Source organism: Homo sapiens, chromosome 1 (genome assembly GCF_000001405.40).
Source record: "Homo sapiens chromosome 1, GRCh38.p14 Primary Assembly".
Lineage (NCBI taxonomy): Eukaryota > Metazoa > Chordata > Mammalia > Primates > Hominidae > Homo > Homo sapiens.
Window position 1 is genome coordinate 61421071 of NC_000001.11, and position 21166 is coordinate 61442236.

A 21166-nucleotide genomic window follows, 5' to 3' on the forward strand; every position below is an offset into this window, starting at 1 on the left:
ACCAACACATCTTTCACAGCCCATCCCAGAGGCCCGCTCCATCTCCCCTGTAAGGCTTGTCCTGTTCCTCCTGCCAGTGTCACTTTTCTGTCCTTTACACCCTGCAGAGTTTTATTTATATTACTTTTTAGGCACTCATGTTTCCATCCTCTGTACTTATCTCTCCCCATTAGGCTGTAACATGTTGGGGATAGCAGCGTGTCTCACTCGCCTTTGCATCCTCCATAGTGCTCAGTACAGAGCCTGGCACGTAGCAAGTGTTGAAATATCTCTTGGAGAGAGAGAAAAAAAATGAATCTATTAAAATGTCTCTATGATGCACTGCGGAAGCTAGACTTGGTAGATCGAGTTTAAGGGAATGAAGAGGGGGTGAATGTTTGCTACTTCCGTATATTTGGAGTATTTGATAAAACAGAAGACCAGTTTCTCTTCAAACTTCATGTCGGTTTGTAGGCCAGGCTGCCAGGGTTTAGGGTACCTCATCGCTTCCTGCATCTGGAAGTAAATTCAGAACCTCAAAGCTCACCCTGCCGTATCTTTTCTGCCAAGGTGCCTCACATTTTCCTCCTAGCTGCGGCCAGAGGAGCTGGCTGTCACTCAAGTAGGTCAGCCTCAGGTGAAACCAGCCACTTAGCCTCCTTCTGGGCACCCTGTGGGTATATGGAGGGGTGTTTGTTCAAAGAGCAGCTCCCCTTTCAGGTTTACCCTTTACACGGAAGAAATCTGGCTAAATTTTCTCCCTTTTCTGCCTTTCTGTGATTACATGTATTTTAGTGATTGCTAAATTTGAACTAAACCTTGAAACTAACTGCCTGCTTTCAAAACAAACCAATGTGAACTCACATTTTCTAGTTTGTCAGATTTGGGGAATTTTATTAATATTATTTTTATCTTAAAGAAACATCAACTGGCTGAGTGTGGTGGCTCACGCCTGTAATCCCAGCACTTTGGGAGGCCAAAGTGGGAGGATCACTTGAGCCTAGGAGTTTGAGACCAGCCTGGGCAACATAGGGAGACCTCATCTCCACAAATAATTTTAAAAATTAGAAGGGCATGATGGCACGTGTCTGTAGTCCCAGCTACTCAGGAAGTTGAAATACAAGAATCATTTGAGCTCAAGAGGTCAAGGCTTCAGTAAGCTGTGTTCCTGCCACTGCACTCCAGCCTGGGCGACAGAGCCAGACTCCATCTCAAAAAAATAAAGAAACCTCAACTGACGTTGGCATGAATATTTTAATATCTTAATATCTTCTTCTTCAGTCATATTTTTTCCAAAGACAAGCTGAAAGCATCTCCACTCAAATCAGTTTGACCACGTTTTCAACACCATGTTCAGGTATAATGGTTGAGTGAAGGCTATTACAAACTCAAAACTAATTCATCTGGAAATGCCATGGTTCGTTTTTGCAGATATATCCCTTATACCTTCCCATTTGGAAAAAGAAAAAAGGAAACCTACCACAGGAACAACAAAAACTGGAATTTGTTTGGCTAGCAGTCAGTAAGCCACATTCATTTCTGAGGACGTAGAGGCCGTTCAGTCCTCTCAGGGACATCCGCCATGATAAACAGCAGTGCTTGGTCCCAGCACCTTGGGAGGCCGAGGCGAGAGGATTGCCTGAGCCCAAGAGTTTGAGACCAGCCTGAGCAACATGGCGAGACCCCCGTCTCTATTTAAAAAAAAAAAAAAAAAGAGCAGTACTGATGGATGATTCCCCTACTAACCCTCTCCACCCCACTCCCTCATGTCCATGTACCCCACAGTGCCCCTAGAGATAATTCCTAGCATCCTCAGAGGCCCTGTCAAACTATTGTTCATAAAGAGAGAACTGTTCTTGAGCCATTCCCCGACTGATCTTAGGGAGGCAGGACCGGTATTGTCTAAGTGAAGGATTATATAATTAGCAATGCCTACCATAAGGGGGTAACACAGAAAGAATGCAAATTTTCTGGATATGGGATCAAATTCTGGTTTGGGATTTTGAAACTTACTGCTGTAGTGCAGGCCAAACTAAGACTCTTGGATAATGTGAAGAAATACATTAGAGAGAGAGAGAAAATATGGTCAGATTAGTGCAAATGAGATCTGGCCAGAAGCTTCTTATAGGAACATTCTTCAATGTTAGGAAAATGGTTCATAGCGCTATTGCTAATATAGGTAAAATGGCTGCTAAAAAAAAAAAAAGCAAACACTTTCTGTTTCAGAAGCAGCCAAATAATCAATGATTTGATTTCTAATAGTCATGTTTGCCATAAGGATTCTTATAATAAGATTAGGTAGCCAAGTTGGTTTCCCTGTTGACTTTATCAGTAAGTCATCAAGTACTTCTGAACCTCCCCTCCAGAATGCCCAAAAATGTCCTACAATAATCTCCCCAGAAAACTATTTTCTGGATTTTATTATTTTTCATAGTTCTACCTACAGCTTTGATTATTGCTGTTGTAAATAAGGCAAGAATTGTAATTAAGAAAGATATGAATATGATATAATATCATAGTATACACAGTTGTATGTAATTAATTACCTTATTGCCCCTTTGCTTGATTTTATATTCACATTGTAAGCTCTTAACTGTGCATGTATAATTGATTCACTATGGTAAATGTGGTTGTTTTAACAAAAAGTTTCAATTAAGGTTTTATTCAACAGTGTAATTCCCTTATCCAATTGTTTCTGTAGGAAAATCAAATTCAACTTATGTTATATCATTTTTGGGACTATATCCTGTTATAGGTAACTGCCCTGCTAGAATAATGGAAGATGAGTCAGAATTTCTTTCTTCCTTCCTTTATTTTCCCTGTGTCCTTTTCCCAGAAGCTAGCTTTCTATGGAATAAACTTGCCTGGGCACCATTTGTCCCATTCTTTCACTTGAGTACTCAAAGACTAGTAGACTTTTGTAGCTGTTATATATGAATATATATGAATATATATATATATAAATGCAAACCCCCTAGCACCTCTCTTACCATTGTTCTTTTTCTTAAAGAACTAGAATCAAATTTCTAGAAGCTCTGGTAGGCTTTGATAGCATGAAAGGCCTTCTGGGATGTTCTGAAACTAAGACTGCAAGTTTTGTCCCATGATTGAAGAAGAGAAAATATCTGATTGTTGGCCTCATAGAAATTTTGTGTAGCTAAAGTATTTGCATGCTAAATCTTTCAAATGGAGAAATTGAGGTTAAGCAAAAATAGGTGATGGGATATAATATAAATACCTTTCCAGATTTAGCAAGCTTGCTATAGTGAAGCTATCTTCACAAAAAATGACACCCCCCCCTCAACCCCCAGAATGGCTTCTGTGTTGGGATCAGTTAGCATGCTTGTTTTGGATGTCCCCAGTATGGTAAGAATGTCATAGGAAATCCTGCTATGTGTCTATGATGAGCAGCAGGCGAGTGCACACTGTTCTATCAGGGCCATCAAACATGGACTCACGTTTCAGCGTCTGTCATCAATCACTCATAGACTTCATACCTTAATATACCCTTCATTCCTTTTTGTTCCTTCTCAACCTACCTACCTATTCATGTGTGAAAGAACACTTTTTTCCCTAACCACTAACAGGTTCAACAGGTTATTTCACCTCCTAGCTTCCTCTTTATCCCTCCCACATCCTCTTTGTGCTCTAAGAGCAGGGGAACACACTATCAGATAATTATAGTCTCTCCTTTTCAATATAAAAACTTTATGTTGCTGTTTCTCAAAGCATATCAAAGTAAAGCCATGGGGTGAATGGTACACTTAATATAGATTATTTTACTGAGCTTTTAAAAAAATTAAATTACCCCCATACCAGTAAGTGAGAGGTACAGGCAGAATGGCTAAAGGCAGAGGTATTTCTCAAATCTGTTCAAATTAGTCTGGCATAGCATGGGCTAGAGACAAAATCAGTAGATTTACATTGCTAGACAGTATGACATATCATACATTTAGATCATTTTAAATAAAGTCATTACTGAATAGATCCTCCTAAAACAAATACTATTACCACAAAAAGTTTCTTATTTAAGAGACATCAGGGACCCTCATGCTCAGCCTCTGTTCAGTGCCGTTTTAACACAGCCATGTCCACATCCATGTGACCATTGCAGATCTGTTTGGGTGGCTTAGCTCTTACCAAAGACAACCAACAGGGTCTGGGCCAGATGGTGGAAATTTTATCCCTAGATTTGTTTAATGAGAGAAACAAGAAGTATGAGCAATTTTCTGTAAAACAGAAAGCCAGAGTAAGAGGAGCAGATGATGTCAATAAGGAAAAAAAAAATCTGGCAGGAATTTGATATCATGCCCTCAATTATCTGTGTTTTAAAAAGTTGCATATCCTGATTGTTTCTTAGATGGTGTTTGTCTAGAGTTAGCTTAAAAACCTAGATTGTTTCTTAGATGATGTGTGTCTGGAGTTAGTTTAAAAACCTTAGGCCTTTTTAATTATTGTTAAGACATTTGAAATTTTTAAGTAACAGTCTAAAGATTCTAGTACAGAGGAAGAATGTGAACAAATCCTTGGAGGTGATGATAAAGAAGTGAATTGAAGGACACCAAAAAACAAAATGTACCTTTGGATTTATGAGCCAGTGAAACAACAAAGCCACTGAATTTTTTCCCATTAAAGTAGAAAGAAGCTCTTAAGTACAGATACAAAAACCAACAACAAAACTTCCATGAACCAAGAAAGGATAGTAAACTGAAGTGTGGTACCTGAGGTTCCAGTGTGATATCTTAGTTGATAAAGGGTCTTGATAGTTTATGCCTGAACAGAAAGGTTCTAGGATGGGAAGACTACAAATGTTAATATGAAAAGCATATTTTGTGCATCATAAAGATTCTAGACACTACAGGGCCTCTAAAGACAGCTTATTCTGAATGGTTTTCTATCTCCTTCCTGGAGAACCCATTAGTTCCTTCTATAAAGATTCCTCTTCGATCTCTAGCTGTAGAGGCACAGGACCATTTCATGATTTTTTAAGAGTGTAACGGTGTGAAAAGCAAGCTTGTAAAATGAACTGCTTTCCTCCCCTTCCTACCTAATTTCTTTCTCCCTCTGCTCTAAAGAATAGGATATCTCTTTCTGACTCCAGAGCTCATGTTTAACTCAGAAAGTATACTTTGCAAATGTCCTGCATGTTCTAATTTGTATGGTAGAAGGAGAAAATAGCTCGTCTGAGCATTAGTTTGACATCATTTTATCCCAACAGTCTTTGGAAGCCAATCCCTCTTCCCCCTTTTTTGACTGTCTGAAATGCCCTTGCTAGCCAGACCCCTTTGCTAGCTACAGTGTTTGCACATTTCCTTGTTAATCAGCTGCGTCGGCTCGGAGACTGTGTGTTTTGGTGTTGTTTGTGTGTGCAATCTCGTGCCGCTTCCTGAACGCATGTGTCCCTTCCCTTCACAGCCTACTCGACACCCAGCACCTCCCCCGCAAACCGATTCGTCAGTGTTGGACCACGGGATCCAAGCTTTGTAAATATCCCTCAACAGACACAGGTGGGCCGCTCTCATCTTTTCTGTATGTGGTGCAGCTTGTATTATTCATCAGGTGCATTTTAACTTGTCTTTTGCACAAAAGGCCACATTTTCCAGACCCTGTCCAGTCTTCCCTTTCCTCCTGATCCCACCAGCCACATTTCCATGTGTTCTCAGAAATCACAGAAAATTTTGCCTGCAATTTTTGCTTCTTGTATTGAGTGGGTAGAAGAAGAACTGTTTTAGCTATGGCACAAAAAGGTTTCCCAGTGTTAGCTAGTGTGTGTTCCCTCTTATAGGAATTCATGGTCCTCTAAATGCAAGCAGACAGAAGCAGGCCCCTACAGAACCTGAAAGTAATATCTGGTTGCCAGTGACATCAGAGTGCATGCTGGGCATGGAGGGACCAGCCACTCCTCTGTATTCATTAGAGGGTCCCCAGGCACCTGGCAAGCTTTCTAAAAGAAAGAGGGAGAAAAGGGTATATGAGCCCTATTAAGTTGCTGGTGTTGGTCCAGAAATAAGACGTGTTTATTAGTGGTTACTGCTGACCACTGGGGAGCAAGGTGCGGTGGGTGGCAAGGGGTGTGTATGAGTCATATCTGAAGCAGGTGATTGAGAGAAGAGGACTGCTCAGACATCCAGAGCTTGTCTGCCCATAGACAGTTGTGTTTTGTGCTAGTCTAGGTCAAGGAGAAGAAATATTTTTGAAAAGTTTTGGAATGGCTGCTGTATATTGAGAAACAGTAAAAGGCTTTTTAAGTTCAAAGTTAGTATAGGTAGAGGCATTTAGAGGTTTGTGAAATAGAATTAGATTCACGTTTTGAAATAAACTCTCTGATTTCCTAATTAGAACATGGCGATATTTTATCATAATTAACATAAGGAAAGTATTTTCTCTGTAAGGTTCTTAGCGCGGTGTTTGAAAACATTCTTGGAGCAATTTTGTGCACATGCCTGTGTGTGGAATCTCCAGATGCCTAATTTATAACTATTTGCCTCTGTTTGTAAAACTATGGCCAGGTGCTATATGAATGGGATAGATTTGCCTTCCTGGGTCCATTTGCCCCCTCTGTAAAGGGCTTTGGTTTATTGCTATGTCGACAGCACAGGTTAAACTGCATTGTATCTGAAGCCTTCCTCACACTGAAGCAGGGTCACAGAAAGTACAGCATCAGCAGAGAAGGCAGCTGGGAGGACAGGGGGAGCTAAAAGGGGAGGGAGAAGGTTAACTCTTGAATTTCCCACCTCTGCTGTTTCTTCTTAAACTGGCCTGCATATGGCGTCTGATATTAAAATCTCCTATTCAGTACCTCTCACAAAATTCTTTCAGTTATTTGCTTATTCTCCCATACCTTCAAATATTCAAACACTTTTCTGGTGAATTTGAAGTTGCATAATTACCTGTAAAGCATTAAAACAGAAGAACATAATTTAATTTTGTACATTTGGCGTAAGTGTCCAAGTTCAATGAGAGGGGGAAAACTGGAGATGGTGGCTCTATATTGGATGATTGCTTTTCCCAAAGCACGAATGTCCTCAAGTTGCTTCATTAAGAGCCTTTAAAATGCAGCTTTGAAATGTCCTGTTTGTATTTTACATAGTATTTTTTATATAAGCTGTGATTCACAGCCCTGAAATTGTATGCTGTGTTCTTTTCAATTTATTTCTTTATAATCAAAATGTATTATATGCCACTGTGGCTTTCCTTCACAAATGCCTTACTTAACCCAGAATCTGAGTTTTCATAATGCTGACCACAAAAATTCAATTCTTAAAAATCCAGATTTTCCACGCATCTGGATGAATGATGTCATGTAGGCCCAGTATTGGCATCTGGAACTGAATTTTTTTTTTTTTTTTTTGGTTTCTGTTAAATATTTGGCGTCATGGGGACAACAGCTTAAATGTTTCTTACCATAGTGACACCTGCCACATTTGGCTTGAAGAAAGTCATTCCCAATTGTCTAATGAGAAACTATGTTAATGGAGTTGTCATTTTTCCCCCAAAAAAAGATATCTTGAGGTAAAAATTATGTGTTCTAAATATTTTAATTTTAAGGTATATATATTAACTCTTCCCTTAAATGAGGAACTATTTTCTGGGACCACTTAAAGTGTTAGATATACGTAGATATAGATAATAAAAATAATAATATACCTTAAAAAATAAGTTCCCTTTCAAGAGGACATCAGTTCAGAAGAGGAATTTTTGACAAGAATTTTTAAAAACATAATTAGAACATGGTCGGCAGATTTCCTAGGCAAACTTGTGTTTTTCTATATTGATACCCTTGTTACAAAGCATGACATTTATATTAATTGAATTACAGGAAAAGTTATCTGGGAAAACAAAATTTTGCTTTCTACCTATGGAGAAATAAGAATTGAAGAGTCACCCAAGCAGATACTTAAGCTTTCTAAATGTAGAAGCAGTATCTTGTACATAAATCTATAAACAGATGCAAAATAAAATGGGCTTTCTGCTCCCAAAGGCCAGTGTCCAGTGGAAATCTCTTAAAATGCCTGAAGCATCATCCTGTAGAAGATGGAACTGATGGGGTCTCTGTTTTTTCAAGTGGGTAGAAATTGAACCAATGCAGACATTATAAGTAGGCAGCTTCAGACTATCATAAGATCTTTTTTAAGAAAAAGAGTTATTTGATTGTATATAGCTTCTACTGGGCATTTTCTATGTACTAAATCCATCAAGTATGTGATGCACCTAATCTTTATAGTCACCTAATAGGATAGAGCTCTACTTTATAGATGTGGAAGCTGAGACTAAGGAGATTGTTGATTTTCCCAAGGCCATACAATATAGTCAGGAGTGGAGCAAGAATTTGCACCCAGTTCTGTCTGACAGCAAGGCCTGTGCTCTCTAACCACTGTATTATGTTACTGCCTTATGAGCTGGTGAGCTCTTTTCCCTGGGGATATTCCAACAGCAACTGATGCTCACTTCTCAGGGATACTACTGGTGGAGTCCCTGCTTTTGTCCCTAAGACTGCATTAAAATATAATCTTTAGCGTATACCCCCAAAAATGGCAAGCAAAGTTTCAAAGAGATATTTGTTCACTTGTGGTTGTAGCAGCATTCTCCACAATAGCCAAAAGGTGGAAGCAACCCAAGTGTCCATTGACAGATGAATTGGTTAAACAAAATGTGGTCTATACATAGAATGGAATATTACTCAGCCTTTAAAAGGAAGGAAATTCTGACATATGCCACAACGTGGATGAATCTTGAAGACATTCTGCTCAGTGAAATAAGCCAGTCACAACAAAATAAATACTGTATGATTCTACGGATGTGAGGTACCTAGAGTAGTCAAATTCATAGAAATGCAAAGTAGAGTAGTGGCTGCCAGGGGTTAGGGGCAGGGCAGAATGGTGAGTTAGTGTTAAAGGGGTACAGAGTTTCAGCTTTGCGAGATGAAAAGAGTTCTGGAGATGGATGTTGGTGATGTTTGCACAACAATGTGAACATACCAAATCCCACTGAACTGTACACTCAAAAATGGTTAAGATGGTAAATGTTACATTGTGTGTATTTCACCACAATTTTTAAAACGTGATCATTAAAAAAGTTCTAAAGTCCTTTTCACCTCTTAGGAGTAAAAAATTCTGTAAAACAGTCAGAGCAAGTGGACTGTTGATCAGAGTAATTGTGTGCTGACTGCTCAGAAAAGCACTAATTATCATGCCCAGCACATAGTGGGTACTCTGCATACATTGGCTGAGTCTAAATGGTTCAGAAAGAACTTTAAAAATATGACTTTTTCTTATTATATTCATAATACATGTTAATTGTGGAAAATACAGTTGAGAAAAATAATAAAAATCACTTGTAGTCCTACTGTTAACATTTCTGTATAAATCCATCCAGAGTGTTTCTGTGCATACAAATATATTGCAAAAAGTGAGATCATATTATATACGCTGTTTGGTAGCCTGCTGTTTCTTCCCCTTAACAATATATTATGGCCTTCTTTCCATGTAAATTGGAAAAATTGAATATTGGCTTTTATTGCATCTATTCATCATCTGTAATGATTGGTGGGGAAAGATAACGTGGATAATTGAAAGCCATTTTTCCTCCTCTTTCCCTTGTAGTCTGTTTTTTTCTCCAGAGAATTCCTCCCTTGACTGAAGCAGAATTGCCTTCTCTTTAGCCTTGCCTTGAGCTAGTTTTCTTTCAAACTGCCTTCCAATTGCATTGTATATCTGGCCCTGGCTTTCGGCTTTGTTCGAACATTCCTGCCGAGTTATCTGTCCCATTCTTCCACCTCACTTGTCTGCTACCTCTGCTACCATCATTTGCCCCTCATTTTTTTCCTCCTTCTCCATATTGTAACTGATCACTGAGATGAGAGGTGGCCACCTCCCTACAGCCTTTAGAACACCCATCAATACTGAGAAACTGTGGCCACTTGTCCCACCTTGAATCTCTTATTTTTCAACGTTGTCCCGTGACAGCTGATATTAACATATAGAAAGGTCTCTGGGGCATACAGTATTTACTTCACTTTAGACACTATTAACGTGCCCTGCATGCCCACCGAATGGTATAATGTAATGATAGGGAACCTGCCATTGTTTCAAATAGCAGAAAGCCAATGGCCATTTCAATTGCATCCCATAACTTAATCTGATCCCTGAAAATGAGAACCATTAAGAGGAGGCGTTTACTTAAAGAAAAAAAAGTTAATATTTCATCATCAGGTAGTAAATAGAAATACCAGTTTCCACACAAGGGGACTGAGCAAAGAACTCATTTTGATACAGGTTCTAGTTTAATCAAAAGGTTTAAATAAAATGCTTAATCTACAGAACTCCAATGAGGACTAATTCTTTAAAATGAAAAATGGGTGCAAACAATATTAAAAACAGGCATTTCCTCCTTACCACCCAAATCTATCACTGTTTTGCATCAACAGTATCATGGTACCCAAAATGCTATTTAAAACCAAATTACCATTTGGACTATTAGAAGAATCACTTGGCATGGCATGGGCCTGATTTGTTGACAAAAAGGCACAGGTGCTATAACCTTTGCTTAATAAATCATTTAGCTGCCTGACTTGCAAGCAGTGTGATTGCCTTTGCCTCATGAAATTTACAAATGTATGCACAAGCCACACACTTCACTGTGCTGGAAGCTGGCTGATCTGGAGAGGTCCCTGCATAGCCAAATTATGGGCATGACACCCGTTGTCTGCCTCTGGTGGGGGTGCACCCAGAATGGGAGAGGTGGAGATCATGGAGAGCATTTTGAGCTGTTGCCATTCCGTGTGTCATATTCCTGAAGCTCTACCTGAGAAACCAAAGCTTAGACCATCTGTGGAACTCTTCATAAGTTCCTTTCTTCAGTCATTTAGTGTTTACTTAATTGCTTAATAGAGCCTCAACACCTACAAAGTACAGGGAATAAAAACTCTCCTCGAGTTGTTCAAAGTCTAGCAGAGGAAACAAATGTGAAGAAATAATGGTAATGACAACACCAACATCAAAACAGTGTAATCGCAGTACTATAAAGATTTGTCTAAGAGGCTTTAAGACAACAGAGTTGGGTATAGGAACTTTCCAAAGAGTGGAAGCAGCAGAAGAGGCTGGATAGTTTTTCTGTCCTTGTCCTTGTCTAGCTTGGGCCTAATGATATGGTTCTTGTACACTTTTCCCTATTTTTTTTTTTTTTTTTGCCAATCAGATGGTAGATCGTGTTCTAACCCATCCCAATAAGAGACATGTTCAGTTCTGTCTTCCCTGGACCAGATAAAATTAGACTCCTTTACTGCTGCACAAGGCTCAGCCAGAAACCCCTTCACCCCTCATTTCCAAGAAACACCTCCTCCTGGTGGTACATCCTCACTTGCCCACCCAAGCTCACTTGAGATTGCATTTCAGTTAGCTGACGCCATTCCCGGGCTCCTGCCCACCCTGACAGGAGCTGCCTGAGTGTAGAAGGTTAGTTACCACACAGAAGTTCAAGGAGCAGCTGGAGAGTTACAAAGACAAGAAACTCAGATTTCCTTAGAGGGAAAAATATATATGTGTGTATATATATATATATATACACACACACACACGTACACACATATATATACACATATATATACATATATATACAGAGATATATATACACATGTATATATCCCACCCTGCAACCCTACCTCATCTTCTAATTAGAAGTGGATTTGAGCATTTCAGTTTCAAGCCCTCACAGCTGCAAACTCCCAAGATTAGAGAGGAATGGCAGATAAAATTCCACTTTCTCCTGACTTTGAGCCAAGTTAAAAGTCTTATTGGCCAAATGAATATTCTACAGCACCCGTGCATGCTAGGTTCTGTGCCTACACTCGCTGCAGTACTCGAGAGCCCTCTAAGGTGCTACATCTCCATTTTACAGATGAGGAAACCGAAGTTTCAGAAGAGTACATTTGTCCCATGGTAATTGAAGTAGCTGAGATTTGAACCAGTCTCCAGAACTTCTGTTTTTCACAAATACTTATCTGCATCCCCAGTTGTTTGTAGTGATAGGTTACTGACCATTTTCTCTTTAAAAGAGTCTAAGATTGACTCACACTCTTATATCAAGGAATCAGAAGCCTTGAAGTTAGTCCCAGTGCTCCCTGGCTCCAGTGGGACTGTGCTGAACTTCGTTCTTCTGAAGATCTGCCCCGGTCTCCTGTTAGTTCATGTCTCTGTAAAACCAAGACTGAATTCATTCTCTCATCCTGCCTGGGAAGAAGACCTTTACTAATGATATTAGTCTGCATCTGTGGGAACAGCTAGCCTTTGTCCAGAGACCAGATAGCAGAGCAGCTAAGATAACTCCTTTATTTTCAGATTTTAGTTGAAGCTTTATTCCATCACTTAGAAGCATTCTGTGTGTTTTATTTTTGTTGTTGTTGGTTTCTTTTTTTTTTCACAGTAATTCAATTTATCTAGCCTAGTTTTTTAACTGTAAAATAGTGAAAATAGTGAGAAATAAATATGTGTGTGTATATATACTCACACACACACACACACCCTTATGGTTTTGGGTCTTAAATTCTGTTAGTGTAAAAAAAGTGTTTAACACCTAATGAATACCTAACAAATGATAGCTTTCATTGTTTGGTTAATAACTAAACTCTTATTTTCTGGATTACAAAGTATTTTCTCATTTGATTATAAGAGTTACACTTTGAAGTAGGCAGAGCTATTGTTATTATTGTTATCCCCACTGTATAGGTTAAAAAAAACTGAGGTTTAAAGAGGGGAAGTGACTTTCCCAGAACCACATATCCAGAGGTCAGTAGAGTCAGGACACAAACCCACTTCTGATTCCACGTGTCCTATGAAGGAAGGACTTGTGTATAAGCCATTCAGCACCTGCTGCTCTATGGTCAGAACCTACTTACCAAAAGCAACCGTCTAGCAAATTAGGAAGCCTCCTACTACCCACTGCAAAATCCTAACCCTGTAGGTTGTTCCACTGAGCATCAACCTTACAGGTGCCCAAAAGCCTGTTTAAATTGGGCACAGCTATTCTTCCCTTGTACAGGCAGCAGTCTAAGTGTACCATTGCTTCTCTTACGCTAAATTGTGCCTGAGAAGGGCCTTCCCAAGGGGAGACAATGTCTCTGAGAGTGGTAAGGACTGGCAGGAAGTGAATGCACCCCTCAGAATCTAAAGGGAAAGGAGGTACCTAAATCGAGGTGGTGCCTGGTCATTTTTTCTCGTATGTTCTCAGCTCCAGTAGCAGGTGTTGAATAGTAAGCAACACCTCGCAGAGATGAGTTACTCATGCAATCTGCTTCCCCTCCCTCCATACTACTGTGGGCAGGAGTGAATCGTCCCAGCTTCCCCAGCTCCCACACCAACCTGTAAGTTCTTGACACATTCTCTTCACATACACTTGGCGGCTGACTCACTGACAGGCTATGAGACACTCTTAAAATAAATTTTTCAATAAACAGAGTCTTTGTCTTTCAAGTTTTAATTTGGCAGCATGTCGTAGACATCCTTGGCCACAAACTTCACTTCTGGACAAAGTTCGAGCCATTAATTCTAGATACTGGTCACCTTTTCTCTCAGTTCCTGTTCTTCCTGTCACCTTTGCTCCACAAAGATTTGGGGGATCTTCTTAGTTGAAACAAATTGATGATTATTGTAATAATTAAGGTCTCTGCCATAGTATCTGGCACACAATAGGTGCTCAGTAAATATTGCTTCTCTTCTTGCTTCCTTTTTTTTAATATTAAAGTGAGAACAGTGGCAATAGAGAAGGGGAAGGTAAAAAAGAGATTTCACAGGAAATTTTACATTGTATGGGAGAGGAAGGGAATAGACCAAAAATCTGCTATCCATTAAATTAGCACTTGGAACTGTGGGAAAAGGGGGACAGAAAATGATGTCAGGAAAAGGGTTGGAAAAAGGAGTTGTGAGTTGGTGGACAGAACTGACAGGAACTAGATCAAAAGTTGATGATAGCCATGCATGGAACTTAGAAAACCATAGTGCCAAGTGCAGAAATGCCATCAACATTTCTAGCTTTTAGGTGGGTCTCCATAACAATGCTTCTGATCAGTGACATTCCAGGGTACTAAGGGAAATGTACTGGGTACTCACCAGGTTTCTCTGGGGGAACAGGAGGAAAAGTCATGATTCAAGGAGTAGGACAGACCTGTTCTGACATCCTGGCTGTGCCATTTATCTCAGTGATCTTGTGTATCTTACCCTTTAAAATTCAGCTTCCTCATCTGTGAAATGAAGGCAATAATAGTATCTACCTCATAGAAGAAACCCCAATTAAGTGTGGTTTAAGCCAGTCAGGATTATTTTCCTCCCGTAACAAGAAATCTGTGAGTGAGTGGTTGTTGGCATTGTTTCAGCGCTGCACGAGGCCAACAGGAACCCATGCCGTTCCTAACATTCTGCTCTGTCTTCCTCAGTATGCTGCCTCTTCAGCCTCATGCTTAGAGCCTCTGACGGCAAGATGGCTGCTGCAGCTCCAAATAGCATAGTCATATCATACCTTATTTTTCCTCTAATATCAGGGAAAAGGCCCTGCTATTCCTCCTGTGCACCCTGCTAGCAAATTTCTTTGTAGGTCTCATTGGCTAAATCTGGGTCACATTTTAATCTCTAGCTGCAAAGGATGCTGAGAAAACCAGCAGAAGATTATCTTGATTGGCTCAAATCATGACCGTCACCTAGGACCAGTCACATTTGCCTCTCTAAGCAAAATTGTCCCAAGGAAGAAGGCGCAATAGGTAGTGGATAGACTGTTAATAGGATCTGCCATATTCTTTTTTCCTATTCCCTGATAGGTTTCATGCACTTTTCAACTCCAGTAGTTGCACTTGACCCTCTTGTCTCTGAATGCTTGGCTTATTATTCTGCCTTTCCTCCACACACTCCCTATGTGTTTAGGAGATGTAGATGCTATGTGCGTGACTGTGCAGAGGTCATTTCTTTTCAGCCTCTGTTTGAGGTCCAGGATTTGGGCAGAAGTCCTGGCGTTTTGTGCAGACCTGCTCCCATGGGGCTGGGTCACCGTGTGCTGGTTAAACATGGACTCTGAAAAGGCTGAGTTGGAGGATATGTGCCTTTGTGGTTGCAGGGGAGCTCTGTGAAACAGTGCCCCCTGGGTGCCCTCCAGAGTGCTTACCAAACAGGCAGCAATAGGTTCTGGGTTTCTCTTTTATGACTTGGAACCAGATGCTTCCTTTGCAAAGGAAAAGAGCCTGGTTTTGCAGAGCTTGAGTCAACACAAGTTCAGAGAACAGGAAAATGAGTTGACTGGCCCTGCTGCATGAACTTTGAGGAGAGAACTCAATACAGGTGGTGTTCTCGCTGTCCACAAAGTCCTTGCTTGTGAAAATCCTATGCCCAAGAAATTGGCCTTACCGAATATTTCTACACTCTAAATAATGACTGTTCACATGAGGAAAGGATTCAGCATTAGGAATCCTTTTGGACCTAGGCTTTCCCAGGGCTTCTAATGAGTCTAAGGCCTTGAAAGTTCCACTGACACACACAGTTTCAAGCCCAGAGCTTGCTGTCTAATGTGAGATCCATCGAAGATCTCACGTGAGGTCTCAGTGATTCTTCCTGCCACTTTTCTCACACCCACCTGCTTACCTTCCTGTTTGTTTATTGAGGACTTAGGCACATTCTTTGATCTGTGCCCTGTCTTTTTGGGATATAGCCTTTCTATTGAGTCTGTTCATTGAGTTACATTCCACAGCACACACCTCCCCCAAAATATTTGCATGAGAATTTTTCTTAAGGTCTCACATTGCTTCCTTTACAGCAGAGATGAAATAACTTAGCACTTCTAATTGGCTTTTCACTTTCCAAACGCTTTACACATTTAACTAATGAGTCACATGAGCTTGTGATAAGCCGGATCCCTTGTCTTGGAGCAGGGACACTGGGTTAGGACAGGCTGTTCTGGCCCTGTGTTTCTCACCCTCAACACCCTCCTTCCTCAGAGTCTGAATGTGTTGAGATAATGGGGATGCCACCAGGCACAGTTGTTCTCAGCACAGGGCAACCTCGGACCCTCACAGTGCTGCCTTAATAATGTGGGAAGCACCCTTTGCTGCCCTCCAGGGCTGGACTATGCTGCATATCTCCTGTTGCCTTGACTAGTGAAGGGAAGCATAAGGCCAGCCCTCATGACATACAGCTTCTGCCCCTCTCAAGCGCAGTCTTCCTTCCATTGGTCCCTGGCAGTGTGTCTGTGCATATATGGGGAAGGAGTGGTACTAGGGGGATAGAAGAATAACATAGTAGGTCTAATAAGGGAACTGACCATAGGAGGGACCTATGGTCTTGGTACACAGAGAAACCCTGGACTAGGAGTTTTTCTACATCTTGGTACACAGAGAAACCCTGGACTAGGAGTCAAAATACCTGGATTCCTAGCTCATCTCTCCCACCCGCCAGCTGCATGATTGATCTTAGAGAGGAGAAAGAAGCCAGAATTTATTGAGCACCTACTATGTTCCTGGCACCATACTAAGCTGGAAGGGAGGCTAAAGATGTACATTATTCAATCCCTGCCGTACATAGCTCACAGAAAGAAAAGTAAATAAACTAAGATGTGATCGATGAAGTAATTGAAATAGGTATAATCCATACAGAAGAGTCAGTAACTAACTCTGGGGAGAAGCATGGAGCTCATGGAAGATATGCCAGAGGAGAAGACACATGAGTGGTTTTGAAGGAGACAGATATACTTGGTGGGGAGAACATTCCAGACCAGGCAGGAGGAACAGTGCATGCAAAGGAACAGCAGTGTGTGTCTGAAGAACCCTATTCTGTTTGGTGTATCTGTCAGTTTACAGTAGACGGCAGAAACATTAGATCAGAGTCTAGTCGTGAATAAATACATACCTTTTTCCAAGGGTAGTAAAGCACTTGGACTTTATTCTGTGGGAGATGGGAAGCAGGTGATGGGCACAGTGGGATCTCTATATGTGAAGAAACCTCTGCCTTGCTTGGTTCAATCCTCCTGAGATACAGGATTTTATAGGCAATAGTAGCATTGAGACCTGTGGTCATGAGGTACCTTCCTCTTCTGGGCAGCATAATGTAGTGGAAAAAATAGAAGCTTTGGAGGGAGACAGACCTGAGTTTGATCTCAGTATGTGACCTTGGAATAATTTTTAGCCTTTCTGACCCTCAGATGTCACATCTATAAAATTATAAATGAATGCCTGCATTCCACTTAGAGTTATGTAAAGACTCAGTCTAGTTAGGATGAAAAGCCCTCAGCACCCTGCCCAGCCAGTGTGTGGTGCTGCCTTTTCAGCCCTCAGGAGGGAACCTCTGTGAGCACTGGAGGCAGGGTGCTGCTCATTTATCTTTAGGACAAGGGGCCTGTGACCACAAAGAAGAAACAGAAATGGTAATATGATGAGCACCCCGGAGGTAATCTGGTAATGTTCTCCCTGAGCTAAATCTCTTCTCACCGCATCCTCCCGTGTCCATTTTCCTTAAGTTGTGCCATTAATTCTCTCATTACCCAGTGGAATGATATTTATGTATTAAGATCATACTTAGCATACTCCCAAGGAGCAAGTTAAAGTTCAACTAACGTCGCCAGTTTCTCGTTGTAAGGATAAATACACTGAGGAATCCATACGGAGAGCTTCTGTGTGTCTTATAATTTCATATTAAAAAAAGATTAAATTTTATACTGGATAAGAGAGGGAAGGAAAAAAAAATCCCAGTGCAAAAACAAGTTGTGAACCTAGGAGCACAGTTTCTGAATGTTTATTTTGTCAGATACACAGCTGACATGATTAGTTCTAATGGGGTGGTGATCCTCATTGAATTGCAGATTGGTATGAGTGACTGAAATACCGCAGGGACTTAAATAAGTGGTGCATATGGTATTACTTAGGCTGCATCCTTTAGCCAAGGTGAAGGCTTCGTTTTCTGTCCATTCCTAACATGCATGCAGACACACACACACACACACACACACACACACACACACACACACCTGCTACATATGCGTCCATCTAGTCCAGAAGCTCCACACTGAACATCAATTACCTATCTAGAGTAAGGCTGGCTGGCCTTTACTTCCTTCCCTTTGCCCTGTGTTACCTGAGTGCACCCCCAAGCCCCCACACTCTCCAGTGTAGATAATGGTGTATCAGATTAGTCTGCCTTGCTGCTGCATCAAGACCCAGATCAATTTATTGACTCTGCCAGAGTGGCTGGTACAGTAATTGTTACAAGAGAAGAATAGAAAGTGAGAACGTGTACACATGAAAAATAAAAATGACGTTTTGTTCTCTCCTGCCCCCTCCCCCGCCTTTTTTTTCCTCATAGATCTTTATGTGTTTACACAGCAGAGAGCACTTTACTTAAGTTAATCAGCTCCTTCTACATTATTAATTGTGACAGGGTGCCACATGACAGGACGAGTATTATGGGAAACATTGATCTCACTCCGATGGTGTGGACCTGAGCAGGTTTGGTATTCCTCTCCCTATCTCGCTGCTTTGGGGTCCCATCAAATCACATTTCCCTGATTGACAACACGGAATGCCTCCCATCAATACGATTGATTTTGTGAAAAGGACAAGGAACATTTTTCAACTGGAGAGAGATGAATTGTGGTTATGGGAAAGAGAGCATCTCAGAAATCTTTCAGGTTAGAAGCCTAAATTGGGAACTAAGGTATTCTTGTCATCCCAAACACAAGCATAATTTGTACCCCCTGAAAAATGGTATTAGGAGAAACTTATTACAAGTGAAAAATAGACTTAGTGGAGGCCAGCAATGAACCTGAGGACATAATGGCTGTTTTTAAAAGGCCACCTGCTAATTTTTTTGTGAGGAATTTTTGGTTAAGTGCACATCTTTGAAAGACATTTCATTAAAGTTCAGCTTTCATGGCTTATACCTGTAGACCCTAACATAAATCCTGTGTGAACGGACAAAACTGAGTGGGTGTCATTTGTGACCTGGAAATAAAAGGTCAACCATTGAATTTATAGCTTTTTTAGTGAAAAGAACATAAAGATTCCTGCCAACTGGAGTCAATCCATATTTTAATGTTTCCTAGTTAAGATTATAAAATCAAGGGATTAGGATCGTGCTGCTCAATGAAGGTCAAAAATTAAATGTGATGGGCTAAGTGTCATTCCCATGGGGCAGAAGTTAATATTTCAAAAACCATTTCTACCACTGGCAGTCAAGAAATGAATTGTCCATGATCATTAACCAAGTTAAGGGGAATCCCACTATCATTACTAAATTTAATGATGATTATTATACTAATCAACTATATTATTAAATTACTCTGCTGTTCTGTAATGTCCCCAAACAGTAATAGTGAATTGATTGCTACCAAGTAATTCTCATATACAGTTGAGAACAAGTTGAGATGCAGGATCATGGATGAAGGCCTCCTTTTGAAGAAAGAAGTTGTGGCTATTTTATGGATAACAGTGATAACGTAGAACGTTCTTTTAAGATGAAGAGTGAGTGGCACTACAGACCTGTTATTAACTATAATTCATTAGTACATGTTTTTTAAGTACAAAAAAAGAACACGTATTTCTCTTTATTGTGTTTTTTTTTCTCTTTCAGATTTTTGTATCCTCCTCCCGATGCTTTTTTTTTTCTTTTCTTTTCTTTGGGAAAAAGAACATCTATTTTGCCAGATTCCTTTTTCCACAAATTTTTAGAGCTCTGGATACTGTCTACTTTGGATTTTTATGAAGAGGGAAGAAAGGATATTTAAATGTCTTTATATGATGACTCAGACACATGTGCCCTGTACCATTTTCAAATCCATTTTAAGATGCCAGTATTTTTCAAAAGTTTTAGAAATTTCCTTAAAGCTGGTAATTTCCTTAAAGATTATCTACTCCAGACTCCCATCATTTTTCAGATACAACTTTAAGAATATTTTGGAATAAAGTTCATATCATTTTAATAAAGTAGCACCTCCAAATAAGAGGGGCCAAAGCCTGGGGAACTGAAACAACTTGCAAGGCCCCAAAGCTAATCAGAGACAGAGCAGGACTGAAATGCAGGGACCTGTTATGAGTGAAGGAAGGGACTAATGGTTTAATATGTGGCTTAGAAAATGGGTGCATGGTTTCCATTTTACAAAGGTGTTTTATAAAAGCCCAATATCATTAGACTGACTCAAACGCATTGCAATTCCAAGGAACAAATGCATGTAATTCAGAAGTTCACTTTGCAGGATTTACTTTCATAGACTGCCGTGCAGGGGTGTGTGTGTGTGTGTGTGTGTGTGTGTGTGTGTGTGTGTGTCTGTCTGTCTGTCTGTCTGTGTAACCTGTGCTTCCGTCTATGCTCCTGGACAGCTTTTTTTTGCATATTTTCCTATCTTCTGATCTTCACAGTGCAGACAAAGGTCAAAATTCCCATCTACCTTCACAGGCAAACACTTTAAAGTGCTTCTACATGAGGCAGGTTGTAGGGAGGACCTTTGATTTAAAGTTCAGCATTTACATTTGTAATTTTGACTAATTTCTGTGCTAGCATTAATTAAATTGAAATTATTTAATTAGAATAAAACTGAAATTGATCATTAGGATTAATTTAACCTGATAGACTTTGTGTGCCTTTCTAGACAAATATTATGAAATATAGTGATAATGAAGTAGTGAGAGGTATAATTTCACATCTTATAATGATTTTAGTATCCAGTTGTTCTCTCTGATATCTAGATAGTGCTGAATATTGCTCTTTGTTACATCATTACCATTTAGCTAGGGCCATGCTGTATCTCTTATTTGGCCTCTTCCCAAACATTTTTTTCCTGTCTTGAAGTCTGAAGATGTACCAAACTCCCTTCACACCACCCCCCTGTTAACGTCATTGTTCCCTTTCCCCCACCCCCACCGTCTTCCAGGAAGGCGGTTTGCTTGGCTCATCCCTTGGGTCTTGCATTGCAGTGACCTTTGTAAGCCAAGAACTGCCGGATGAAACTCATTATGGAATTCGCTAATGCTCCTCAGCCCTGGGGTCAATACTGTCAAATCTGGACTATCCCCTCGCACCCCTTCCTGGCTGCTTGCTTTGAGTCAGAAGCAGGCACGGAATGAAGCCCTGACGAGGGATGCCAGGCACTGAGTAGGTAACTCCAAGGGAGTACAGGAGAGAAGCGTTACTCCTCCCGGTGCCAGATTCGCTTCCAGGAAATAGTTTCC

The 21166-nt window shown here is 40.4% G+C and overlaps 1 protein-coding gene across 4 annotated transcripts in view, besides 1 other annotated feature; it reads left to right on the forward strand.

Annotated features, from left to right (window-relative positions):
* Positions 1–21166, forward strand: part of NFIA (nuclear factor I A) — a 385562-nt gene that overhangs the window by 343844 nt on the left and 20552 nt on the right. For 3 of the 4 annotated variants that reach the window (NM_001145511.2, NM_001145512.2, NM_001134673.4), the window contains one exon: positions 5395–5486. The exons of the other annotated variant lie outside the window; for it this stretch is intronic. In NM_001145511.2, the coding sequence (NP_001138983.1) occupies positions 5395–5486 (92 nt within the window). The remainder of the gene's footprint in view (positions 1–5394; positions 5487–21166) is intronic. 4 annotated transcript variants of the gene reach the window in all.
* Positions 15521–16022: an enhancer, noted in NCBI's record as "NANOG hESC enhancer chr1:61902263-61902764 (GRCh37/hg19 assembly coordinates)". NCBI's record gives its function as "activates a minimal SCP1, AML or CMV promoter by ChIP-STARR-seq in primed H9 embryonic stem cells {active_cell/tissue: H9 hESC(primed)}" and the evidence as "EXISTENCE:reporter gene assay evidence [ECO:0000049][PMID:30033119]".